Source organism: Homo sapiens, chromosome X (genome assembly GCF_000001405.40).
Source record: "Homo sapiens chromosome X, GRCh38.p14 Primary Assembly".
NCBI lineage: Eukaryota > Metazoa > Chordata > Mammalia > Primates > Hominidae > Homo > Homo sapiens.
The window spans coordinates 64,220,347-64,232,919 of NC_000023.11; the positions used below are offsets into that span (position 1 = coordinate 64,220,347).

Consider the following 12,573-nt stretch of genomic DNA (forward strand, 5'->3'; position numbering starts at 1 on the left):
GCCTCTGATCCTCCCATATGCCCAGCCCCTCACTGTAGGCTTAGCCCAGCCCCTTTAGCTTATCCCCAGTCACTGGAGCTGCCACCTTTTCCTACCTTGCTACATCACTCCTTAGTGCTAAGTTCTATCGGCGGGAGGGCGGGGACCCAGGCCTGGAAAATGAAGTCAGAGCTTGCAACCTCCATGCACCACCCCTGCCTCAGTGCTAACATTCACACATGAAGCAAAGCAGCATCTTGGGAAATGACACTGGCTTGGGCATCAAGAGTCTTGTGGGTTCAGTCCTGGCTCTGCCACTGCCTCACTGTGTCAAGTCCCCTCCCTTCTCTGGGCTTTAGTTGCAACATCTGTACAAAAACTGTTCTGCTTACCTCACAGAATTGTTCTAAGAAGTAAATGAAATTATAGATGTGCAAATAACTTGTAAGTAAATTGATATGTGCACACACGACAGTGGTTTAGTTAATGCTAGCAGATATGTCCTGGGAAATCAGGGAACATGTTCTCCATATGCTCAGGAAGTCATTCCTGTGAGTATAAGTGTCCCATTCTAAGAACTGAAACCTTCAAGTCTAAAAAACCAAGGTATTCATGGCTGTCTTCAGTTTAGTCTGCAACCTAGCTCCTGTTCAAATTCACTGAACTGAAACCAAGCTGCCCTGCATTTTTCCACTTCTATGCTTTTGCTCATAGAGTTCCCTCCACTAATACCTTTTGCTTCCTCTCTGCTGATTAAAATTCTTTCCACCTTTCAAAGCAAAGATCAAATACCACCTTCTCCATCAGGCTGTCAAGTTAGCAGCTGAATGGGGATCTCTCTGGTTTCTGGAGTCCCATGGGCCATTTTACACTTTGGATGTAGTCCTCCGGGGCCATCTTTTTGAATAAAGCAAAATAATTTTCCCATTGCAGGAGAGAGTGCAGACTGATAGTGGCATGTACAAAGCAGAGCCAAGATCCAGGATAATGGCAGTGTCAGGAAGGAAGAAAGGGAGGTGTCTTAGTCTGCTTGCACTGCTATAACAAAATACCTTAGACTGGGCAATTTAGAAACAACAGAAATTTATTTCTCTCAGTTTGGGGGGCTGGAAAGTCCAAGATCAAGGTGCCAGCAGATTTGGTGTCCGGTGAGGGCCCACTTTCTAGTTTATTAACAGCATCTTCTTGCTGTGTCCTCACATGGTGAAAGGGGTGAGGGATGTCTTTGGGGCCTCTTTTATAAGGTCACTAATCCCATTCATGAAACTGGAGCCTTCATGATTTAATCACTTCCCAAAGGCCTCACCACCTAATACTGTCACACTGGAGATTAGGTTCCAACATTTGAATTTGGGAAGTACAACATTAACATGATAGCAGGAGAGAAGAAAGGAGGGAGAGAGGAAGGAAGAAAGGCAGAAAGGAAAGGGAGGTCAGGAGAGATAAAAGGGAGATAAGGGGCCTAGCTTACCTGAAGTAGTTAAGATTTGGCCTTCTGAAAGCTAGTGACTGTGCTGGGGGTAAGGGGGATTGAGGAAACTGAGCTTTCACCTGGAGTCAGTGCCAACAAGACACTAAAGGCCAAGAGGAAGATTTCACTCTAGGTGCAGTAATAGCATCTCTGCTTTCTTCTCATACTTCCTAGGCAAAATTGCCTTGGAAAAGTCATCATCAGAATTTGAGGTGATTCATTCCAACTCCTGGCCCATTTTCTGGATGGGAATGATGAGGCCTGGGGAGGGGACAAAATTAAGGTACCAGGACGTAAAGTTGTCTCTTCTCACTAACAGCACAGGCAACCAGAGAAAGAACAGCTAGAAGTACTTTGAAGAGCTGGACCATAAATAATAACATGGGCACTTACCTTAGTTGGGTTCTCAATTCCCTCATCTGGGAAATTGAAGCTAAGAGTTTTGGCCCTTCCTCTTTATCTAGAATTTTGTACATTCCTATAACCTCCTCAAGCACATGTACTTTGAAATGCCCAGAGTGTCCATGTGCCTTCTTGGGTCAACCAGAGTTTGTGTCCCAGATGCCATGGAGGAGGCCACCTTGGCCAGGCCCCATTCGAAGGATGTACTTTCCTGGGGATCTATAGCAGATAGGGCTGCTGAGGTTGACTTAGTCCCCAAGGGCCCTAAGGGAATGGCAGGCAGGGCTAGGGGTGGGGCTTTGCATAAACTACCACCTAGGATCCCAGATTGAGAGAAAGACAGAAGAGAGCTGAAGATGCCTACCCTGAAGCCCTCAGTTCTTTAGTTCTTATGTTCCTTGGAGAAAAACAGTTGCACTGTTTCCCAAAGTGCCTAAGAATGAAAATCTGAAAGCTAGGTGGGGCGGGAGCATGGAGATAGATGTCCAATTTTCTCACCTTCCTTCCTAAAGTCTCTCAGGCAGAAGTAGCTAGGGAGAGTGGGGGAGGTGAGAGAGGTGAGGGGCAAATCAGATTAAGACTCCGTGCTCTGCCTTCCTTTCCCAGTGATAGGGGAGCATGATGTAGGAGACCATCAAAGCAGCTCCCAGGAAGGGCTCTAAATATGTAAAGTGCTTCCTGGGGACAGATTATCTGGGCTCTCCTCCTCTACCCCTTAATCTTGTGTCCCTTTCACTGCTCATCCATGTCCTCACCCACAGTTGTACAGAAGAAATACAAGAAGGTCCTGTGGAGGGATTAAAATTTAGTAAAATGAATTTCCCTGGATTTAAGTGGATATCTGTGCTGTTCCAGGGTCTGTTTGCCTCCTTCCCCAGTTCTCCACATTATAGGGGGTCTGACCCCTACAGGCTGCATTTCCCAGGCTTCCAAGTCAACTACCTTCTGGCTGGGTTTAACCAATAGAAGGCACTGGTGGGAAGGCAGGGAAAATGGAGAAGCCAGGGTACTTAGCCTCTGCCTTCTCTGCCTCGAGTGCTGCCCCTGCTGTGTCTCCTCTGTGGTTCCTGCTATCAGCATACTTCCAATTCTGCTGTGTGATTCCAGCTCCGGTTTAGGTCATACTACCTCCTCCCATGGTCCCTCCATTCTTCACCACCTCACCCTCACTCTGATTGCAAGGGGGTTGACCCCTGTAAGCTGTGTTTCTCAGGTTCTAATATTAATTGACTTCTGGTTTCCTCAATGAGAGAGACTTCAGAGGCAGATTGAAGGGCAGGAATGAGGGAAAGAAGAGGCTACCTCTTCCCATCCTCTAGCTCAGGCGCATTTCTCATCTGTGGCTTTAGCCCTTGAGGGCAGGCCTGCGATTTCACTTTCAATCAGATGACCCCTCTCCCTCCTCCCTTACCCCTGAAGCCTAGAAGTTAGGTTGGCTTCCTGCATTTGCTAATCTCTAAGTTATCTGCTTGTCTTACTTGGATTCTCAGCCTATCACCTATGTAACCAATTTATTTTTCACATTAGATATTCTGTCATAAATATTTGATAGTTTGTTTACCCAGGTAGATCTTGAATATAAACTGGACTAGCGGAAATGCAGCCTATGATTCAAGGTGAGTGAATGGGAGGCTCCTCAGTCACTTGACTCAAAGTAATATGGGACTGGGGGACAGCCAATGAAAAGGTGTCTTGTAGCAGCCAGAGAATTGAAGGGAGGCACAGGGCTGGGCAAGCTGATGCTACCCTTCTACCCACTTGTATTATTCAGGACCTTGCTTCCAGGGCAACACAGCTCCCAAAACTCTCTAAAGGATCTTGGTGGGGAGGTATAGGCCATTGGGTTAGTTTCCTCTTTTGGTCTTACAGACTCCTGTGCCTGTCAGATACCAGACCATTTGCTATCCTTCTCCATGGCCAATCATACCCCTTCCCTCAATAACGCCCATGCCCCCATCCATGCCCACACACACCAGACACAGCAGACACTGGGACTTATTTTCTGGAGAATTTTATTGTGGAGGATAATACAGGAGAGCAGCTCCAGGTAAGTGGATGAGGCTGTAATGCTCTCCAGCTACGTGAGTCCCCAGGTGGTTTTCGGAGGCATCATAAGTTCCTGGGGAGACTGCAAGATTACAGTTGGTGTTTTAGGTAGCTAATCAACATGGGAGGAATATCCAGCTGGTTGATGGCTTGTGGCTGGCCAGCCTGGCACAAGGCTCTGCGGACGACTAAACGGACCTGTGATAGAAGTGACCGTGGAGTGGCTACAGCAAGAAGAAACAGGTCATGAGGAGCAATTATCAGCAAAATTCTCCCACACAAGCCTACATCCACTCTCCACTGGCTACTACAGCCCTAATGCTCTATCCTTTCCAAGAAATAAACAGTCATTGGCAGAGCCAGAACCAGAAATTGGGCTAATGCTCCCCACCCCCACCCAACCTTATCTTAGTGACCTTTCTCTAACATGGAATACATAACCCCTCTTCTCTACTGGGGCCCCAGGAGAGGGAGGAAGATGGAGTTTTCTCCAGTGCACCTCAGAGGATTGGCTTATACGTGATTTAGAGCCCTGGGACCTCCAAGCCAGGTGGCCTATGAGGCTGGCCTGTTCACCACTCACCTCGGGCCTGTAGCAGCAATGCAATGCCTTTATCATCTTGTGAGGTCAGGTCAAGGGAGAGAGATGGAAGGTAGATATTAGCACCAAAATCGATTAACAGCTGGATATACTCTGGCTCACAATTATGATGGAGGCAGATTTCAAGGAGGGTGCGGGGTCTTGGGACACGAGCCAATAGGCCCTGGTCAGTGCAGTTGTAGTCAGGGTCTGCCCCGTGGAGCAAAAGCAGGCGGAAACAGTCCAGGTGCCCGTAGACTGCGGCCAAATAGAGGGGGCCAGAACATGAAGCTATGTTTGATGCCCAGACTGGTAGTTTAGCTTTGACGTTGGCCTCTGCACCATGGTCTAGGAGCTCCTGCAGGATAGCAACAGCACCATCACGGGCAGCTGTGAGCACGGGAGAACAGTTGTTGTAGATGCTACCACCAGGAGAGGCACCAGCTTCCAAAAGCACACGTACACAGTCCAGATGGCCATGACTGACAGCAGTGAAAAGTGGCGTCTGTGCCTTGACATCCAAGCTGTCAACATCAGCACCATGGGCTAAGAGGACTTGCAAACAGCTCAAGTGGCCATAAGAAGCAGCCAAGCGCAAGGGTGTCCCAGGAACACCCCAGCCACTCCTGCTGTTGATGAAACGTTTGTAACGCTCCTGGCGCAAAAGCTGGTCCAAAGTATAGGAGTCGTTGTCATACACTGCTTGATTGAGAGCCTGCTTCTCCTCTGTGTCAGTGTCCTCCTCCTCCTTGTCGGGCTGCAGGAGGGAGAAGATCTTGGTGATGTCCATGAGGTTCATCTTGGCTAATTGGAGAACTATTCTCATTATGAGCACAAGGAAATGCCAGATCTGTGGGTGACAAACAAGTGGGAGAGAATGAGGGTACCCATCAAAAGCCTGACCATGCACGCTCCTTGAAATCTCCCTCCATTTCACCATCAGGCTACTCATTCATGGGTCTCCTACTTCTCACTCCCAATCCCACTGTCTTATTTCAGGCCCCAAAGACACTGCCAAAACAGGTCAGGGCATTTTACAGTTTGATGCCTTTGCATACACTCTTCTGCCTACCCCTCAAACTCCTACGTCTAGGAAGCCTTCTCTAATCTCCTCTTCCTGCTCAGGGATTCTGAAGGATCACAACTAAACTTCAGCTATGAACTTTCACACCACATTTCCGCTTATCTATGTTCCATTAGTGTATAAACTCCAGGGCAAGGACCCTGTATTCATCTTGTATTCCTCTATCCCTAGTAGGGCTATATCATGGCTGGAAATCTGGTAGATGCATTTTCCTCAGTTCAGAATGTGTGGATTAGTAAGGTGGCTCTGGCCTGGCGCTGGCTAAGCCAATAGAACCATACTTTGTGGTGTCAAGTTGCCATCCCTGAGCTTGCTGACATCAATCTTTTGGGGCAAGCCCTTAACTCCATTTTCAGATAGTTTAACTCTTCACAGCCCCTCATATATGACTAAAGCTCCCTCATCTGAGCCTTCTGTAACCTTCCCTCAGATGAAGTCCCACATTTCAGGAAAAGAAGTATTCAGGAAACTGGTATTGAATGATATTTACTGATTAAATGAAGAGGTGGCATTACAAAGAACATATTTCAAGTAAAATGAAGACAGATGGCAGGAAACAGTCGAGGCTCCCAGGGCAAGTTTCCTCTCTGATTACAACTAGATTCTCCCCCAGGACCAATTTAATCCAGGAGTCCCTTTGATTGCCAACACTGGCTCCCCATTCCTCTGGCTTAAGCCTTTTTCCATCCTGTCTGACCCAGGCTAGAGCCTTTGACTCAACCTTCAACTCTTCTCTTTCCATAATCCTCACCCTACAAAACCACTCATGGCTCAATGTCTGACTCAACCCAACCTCTGACCTTACCAGTGCTTCAGTGTCAAGGTCGCCCACCTCAGTTTGTAATGTCATCAGGGCGAGCTGGCAGGTTTCTCAGAGCTTAAGTTCCCCTACTCTCCCATACCCTGCAGCTGAGGTCTCAGGACCTCATATCTTCTTTTATTCACTGTCTACCCCCACCCCTCTTTGTTAGTCTGGGACCTCAGGTACCTACCTCATAGAAAGAAAATTATGAGGTGGGTGGGTAGGGTCACCCTAAACTTTAGGCCCCTCCCCACCCACCAGCATCAGCTCCATATATGGTGTTATTATTTATTCATTCTTGGGGTGCAATGGGAAGGACAGGATTTTGGAAATCCAGCAGACCCAGGTTTGCAGCTCAGCACTCTCAGTTCTTTGCTGAGTAACCTTGGGTAAGTCTCTTCCCTTCTTTGGGACTCAGTTTCCTCATCTATAAGACAGAAATGGAAGTCACTTTCTCATGAGGTTATTAGGAGTAAGAGAGCTACTACATACTCTGCACCTTTAGCCTCCATCTTAGGAGACAAAACTTAGGAGAATAAACTTCTATGGTCCTTTGTCCCACTCTAGCTATCTTTCTCTTCGTCTCTCCCTTCTTTACACCAAACATATCCAAATAGTTTTCTACTATGTACTTCACCACCTTCCATTCACTTGTCCATTCTCTGCAGTCTGGCTTCACCCACACTCAAACATACACCAAGAAAGCTCTTCAAAAGGTCATCTTTGTGGTTAAATCCAGTGGATATCTTGAAGATCTTTTCTTCCCTGACTTTTCTGGAATATCTATCCCTACAGACCACTCCTCCCTACAAACTCCTCCATCAGCTTCTTTGCCAGCACACTCTCCTGATTTTTCTCCCTTCCCATTCTCCCCTGAAATATTTGTGTTCTCTTCTCCAACCTCTTCTCTCCAGTCGCTCTCACCTTTATTCTGATTATTTTAAGCGTCTCTATCCGAGCCCCCAGCTCTCTCTTTAGCTCCAGGCATGTATCCACTGAGTTTCTTCAAGCACTTCAAAGACAGCAGTATCACATCACCACCACTACCACCATGACTAAACTTGATCCATATATCATTTCCTCACCATCTACCTGGTCAACCAAACCAAAAACCAAGACTCCTGTCAATGCTCTTGCCTCTTTATCCCACTCTCATAAAATCCCATCAAGTCCTGTGGATTTTACCTACTAAAGACTTCTCCAGACCATCTGTGCTCTTCAGGGACCATTCTCATTGACTATGCTTCATCTAGGCCCCCACTGCCTTTTGCCTCAGCAGTTATAGTGGTCTCATAGGTAGTTTCTCTTTTCAATATTTTCTCCACATTGTTGCTAAAGTGGTAATTTAAAAATACATATCTGATCTCTACCAATCCTCTGTTTTAAATACCTTAATGGCTCCCCTTTCTTTCCAGCTACAGCCCAAATACTTTAGCCCAGCTCAGAGGTCCTTCATGAATAAATCTTGGCCAATCTCTCCAGCCTCACTTCCTACTACTCCTTGACTTATATCCTGAGGTCCAGTGACAAGAGACAAAAAGTGATGGCTCTCCATATACACCATGTTTCTTTCTGCCACATGCAACTCCTTCTGCCAAGTTAATTCCTGCAGAGTCTGTGTTATAGCACTATAGCAGTCATCACACTGTATTGTAACTTCTATATGGGTCTTTGTTTGCCCTAGTGCAGATAAAGAGGCCTTATGTGGTAGTGGCAAAACATGGGAGTTCTGCTTCTACCCCAGCTCTAGCATTTAGTAGCTGTGTGACCTGGGGCAGGTCACTTAATCTCTCTGTGCCCATTTCTTCATCTGTAAAGACAAAATAACAATAGTATCTGCCTTGGAGGGTTCTTAGGATTAAATGAGTTAGTACATAGTAAGTGCTTAGAATAGTGCCTGAAAGTAGTTCTCAGTAACTATTTTTACTATGATGATGATTGTTACTTATGTCTCCATTTTCTAAGGCTATTGCTCCCTACTTAATGTTCTAGAACCTCAGAGCTGCAAGGGACCTTGTAGATCATTTAATTTAATTTTTTCAATTTACAGATGGGGAAACCAAGGTTCAGAGCAGAGCAGGGACTTTGGTAAGGTCACATGGTTGTTATTGTTAGTTGTCTCATTAACAAGAACTCAGAACACACTTATAATCCTGTGCTTTTCAAAGCAATTTCATGTAACAAAATAGGTAATATTATCCCCATTTTTTGGATGGAGGAAACTGAGTCCAGAGAGGGTAAGGGGTTTTCCATATACCTTACATCAAGGCAAAAGCAGAGTCAGAAATAGAATCCAGGTTTCTCTACTCCTCCTCCTGTTCTTTCTATTACAAGATGAAACACAAACACATACCCCCCTCCCTTGACTCCAGCAGTCACATTGCAGCTCCCAGGATCTTCAGCTTTTGAGTGTCATGCTGAATTCCAGGGTCTTCGGTAATGGAAGGTTCCTTTACAAATAATTTATTCTGATAACTGGTAGGAATTCCCTCCTTAATATTTTATTTTGGCGACTGGGATCTGGGCAGATAATTGGCAGGGAGTGGCAGAGGGAAGTGCTGAAGTTCTTGCTAAGGTTCATACCAAGAGCCCACAGCAGAGCTCATATAATGAGCCTCCAGAGGGAGACCAAGCCATGCTCTCCAGCTGGCTGTGGCACTGGAGTGAATCGTGCCTCCATTAGATAAGGACAAGGAAATCCAGCTAGCCTGTTGTCTTACCTCACTTTGCTGTAGTTTATTAATCAAAGAGTTACTATGTGCCTGTTATGTGCACGTAGCTCCTTCCTGATCCTAAAGATGTAGGAGTTTTAAACCTTTTTTTTTGTGATATTGGTTCCTGTGACAAACTAGCAAAGTCTGTAAACACCTTTCAGAATGGTTTTTGCTACATAAAACACATAAAATTAAAGGAAACCAATTATATTAAAATGTGACTGTCAAAATATTTTTAAATGCATGATATAGTAAGAGATGTTCTTTAGTAACACATTAAATAAAAAGGTCTAGTAATAATTTCTAAGTGGTAATAAATGACATTTCAAGATCTCTGCCACAACTGTAATATGATATGAAATATCTGTGGTTTCTTCTGGTAACCAAATTACATGAACTGGTTATGCTACTGCCATTTGATACCTGCATTCATCCTTGAAGGAAATAGTACATTTTAGTTAGAGGTTAGGGGGAAAAAAGGTAATTGTCTATTCATCCAAGTTTCTGGACCCCTTGAATTCTATCTAAGGCCCTCTTGGTGTCTGTCAATCCAGGTTAAGTACTCCCACAGGAAAGTGGTTGGTTTCCGTGCATCCTAGAGCATTCCTTCAGGCATTAGCAGAACGTTTTTAAGCCTCATCTTCCTTCTCTCACCCTTACGAGTTCTGCCCTTATGCCCTTAAACCCACTCTAAGGCACCCACACACACAGACTAGCCAACACCACACAGGGACACAAAGACAAATCTCCACACTTCCTGTAGTGTATAATCACAATTGCTCTCAAGAAGCAGGTCTGTTTAGACCCGAGGTCCTAGGCAGACATATCCTCTTGGGACACACAAGGCAGGGAGCTGGCATTATATCCCTCCTCCCTCCTCCTGGTGGGTTGCCCTAACGACCTTCCAAGCGCCTCCCCCAACTCCCACCACGTCCCAGACCCAGCGGAAACAGCCTACAACGGGAAGTGGGTGATCACAGGTCTGTGGGCCCGCAGTGGTCACTCTTCTCAAACCGGTCCTAGGCTCCAGGTACTCACCGGGCTTCAGCCTGAGGCCATGCTGCCCAGGGTCGCTGCCCCCCGCCCCTCTGTGAAACATTGGGGCCCTGGTGTCCCCTCCTTAGGGAGCCCCCACGGCCCCAACCTGGAGCAGCTGGGGCTCTCGTTTCCCACTGTTAACAATGCCGTTGAAAGACTAGGAGTCAGTCCCTAGTCTTGGTCCAAGGGGCTAATTTTAGGCTACCCTCCACCCCCTCTTCCCAGGCCGTGTTATCTTACCAGTGCCATTCTGGGAGCGATTTCAGTAAGAGGAGGGGCTCTCCCATGGGGAAGTCCTGGAAGGACTGACTGACAGATAGACAGGTGCCTGGTGAGGCTAGGGTTCCTGCTCCCAGCCTATCCTCCTATATCCCTCCCTGCCACTCAAATGGGAGACAGGGTGAGGCCCCTGAGCTGCGGTTGTTCCCACACCTCCACCAGGGGGCACTGAGAAGGTCCAGCCTCAGCCTAGCACACTTTTTTTTTCTCTTTTTTTTTTTTCTAATTATACTTTAAGTTTTAGGGTACATGTGCACAACGTGCAGGTTAGTTACATATGTATACATGTGCCATGTTGGTATGCTGCACCCAGTAACTCGTCATTTAACATTAGGTATATCTCCAAATGCTATCCCTCCCACCTCCCCCCACCCCACAACAGGCCCCGGTGTGTGATGTTCCCCTTCCTGTGTCCATGTGTTCTCATTGTTCAATTCCCACCTATGAGTGAGAACATGCAGTGTTTGGTTTTTTGTCCTTGCGATAGTTTGCTGAGAATGATGGTTTCCAGCTTCATCCATGTCCCTACAAAGGACATGAACTCATCATTTTTTATGGCTGCGTAGTATTCCATGGTGTATATGTGCCACATTTTCTTAATCCAGTCTATCATTGTTGGACATTTGGCTTGGTTCCAAGTCTTTGCTATTGTGAACAGTGCTGCAGTAAACATACGTGTGCATGTGTCTTTACAGCTGCATGATTTATAATCCTTTGGGTATATACCCAGTAATGGGATTGCTGGGTCAAATGGTATTTCTAGTTCTATATCCCTGAGGAATCTCTTCTTTTTTCTCTTCTGAACTGAGCCTCTCTGCATATCCTCCAACTCGTTGCCCCTCCCCTTCCTTCACTGCTCAGAGTGAGGAGGAAGGTAGGAAGGAGAAGCCTCCATAACAGAATGTGTTCTCACTCAGCTTTTCTAAAGCTTAAGAAGGCCTTGGTCATTTATAAAGACCTTCCCAGTCCACTGACCCACCAGGCTCAGCCTGAAGAAAATGCCCACAACCTCCCACTATCCTCACCCTAAAGCATCACCATTACTTTAATGTGTCCAGCACTGGAAACTTTGTCAAAAACTCAGCTCTCACTTTTTCTGCCCCAAAACAGCCCTCTAGGGATCTGAACCCAGATATTATATCCTCCATGTCACCTTGTTTCAGGGAAAACAGCCCCAGCTCCTTCAACTATTTCTTTCAATCTGTTATCTATTTAGTTCCCTCCCCAGTCTTGTCTACCTCACTCATGAAGTGGTCAAGCAATCTGCTTGCACATTGATAGTGCCAGGGAGCTCACAGAAGACCAGATAACTCCTCTGGAAAATGTGGGAATGTCCTAGTGTGATCAGTGACTCTGAAGATCAGAAACATCAAAAAGCATACCAGTTTCAGCTTAGCTTGAGCCAGGGGACTTTGTCTGAGGCCTCATGCAAGCCCAATTAGCAGTCAACAAATAAGCTATTATGATGCTAAAGATGACAGAGTAAGGTGTTATTCTTGAAAAAAAGATTTGCAGGATTTTTTAATGTAAGTTTTTGTTGAGATAATTGTAATTCACATGTGGTTGTGGAATTAATACAGATTCCAAGTACACTTTACTGAGTTTCTCCCAATGCTAACATCCTGCAATACTATAGTACAATATCTCAAGTATGACATTGGCATTGATACAATCCACTTATCTTATTTAAATCTCCCCAGGTTTACTTGTACTTTTTTGTGTCTGTGTGCGTACATTTAATTCTATACAATTTTATTACATGTAGCTTGTGTATACCACCTTAGACAATATACAGAATAGTTCTATCCCAATTAGGATATTTCACATTGCCTTTTATAGCCATATCTACTTCCTTCCTACTTCCTTTCCATTCTTCCCACCTTGGTACCTAACCCCTGGAAACCTCTAATCTGTTCTTCATATCTATAATTTCAAAATTATATGAATGAAACCATACATGATATAAACATTTGGAATTAGGTTTTTCACTCAGCATGTCCTTGAAATTAATTCAAGTTGCTGTATGTATCAAGTTTGTTTATTTTTATTGCTAAATGTGATTTATAGTAGGTATGTAGCATAATTTGTTTAATTATTGACCGATTGAAGGACATGTGGGTTCTATTTACTATCTGTCTACTATGAATAAAGCTGCTATGAACATCTGTGTACAGGTCT

The 12,573-nt window shown here is 45.5% G+C and overlaps 2 protein-coding genes across 3 annotated transcripts in view; one reads left to right on the forward strand and one right to left on the reverse strand.

The window, feature by feature from the left end:
- The window catches only part of LOC112268307 (uncharacterized), a 106,617-nt gene that overhangs the window by 14,401 nt on the left and 79,643 nt on the right, over positions 1 to 12,573 (forward strand). The window lies entirely within an intron of this gene.
- Positions 3,848 to 10,261, reverse strand: ASB12 (ankyrin repeat and SOCS box containing 12). Its single transcript, NM_130388.4, has 3 exons — positions 10,117 to 10,261; positions 4,482 to 5,328; positions 3,848 to 4,122 (listed from the first exon to the last, which is right to left on the reverse strand). The coding sequence occupies exons 2-3, from the start codon at positions 5,302 to 5,304 to the stop codon at positions 3,989 to 3,991; spliced, it is 957 nt and encodes a 318-aa protein (NP_569059.3). The 5' UTR covers positions 5,305 to 5,328; positions 10,117 to 10,261; the 3' UTR covers positions 3,848 to 3,988.

Excerpts from the sequence above, each read along its gene's own strand:
- ASB12 (NM_130388.4), bottom strand. The coding sequence starts at position 5,304 with ATGAGAATAGTTCTCCAATTAGCCAAGATGAACCTCATGGACATCACC. Across the intron at positions 4,123-4,481 it reads ATTGCTGCTACAGGCCCGAG|CCACTCCACGGTCACTTCTA; the intron begins GTGAGTGGTGAA and ends TTCTTGCTGTAG.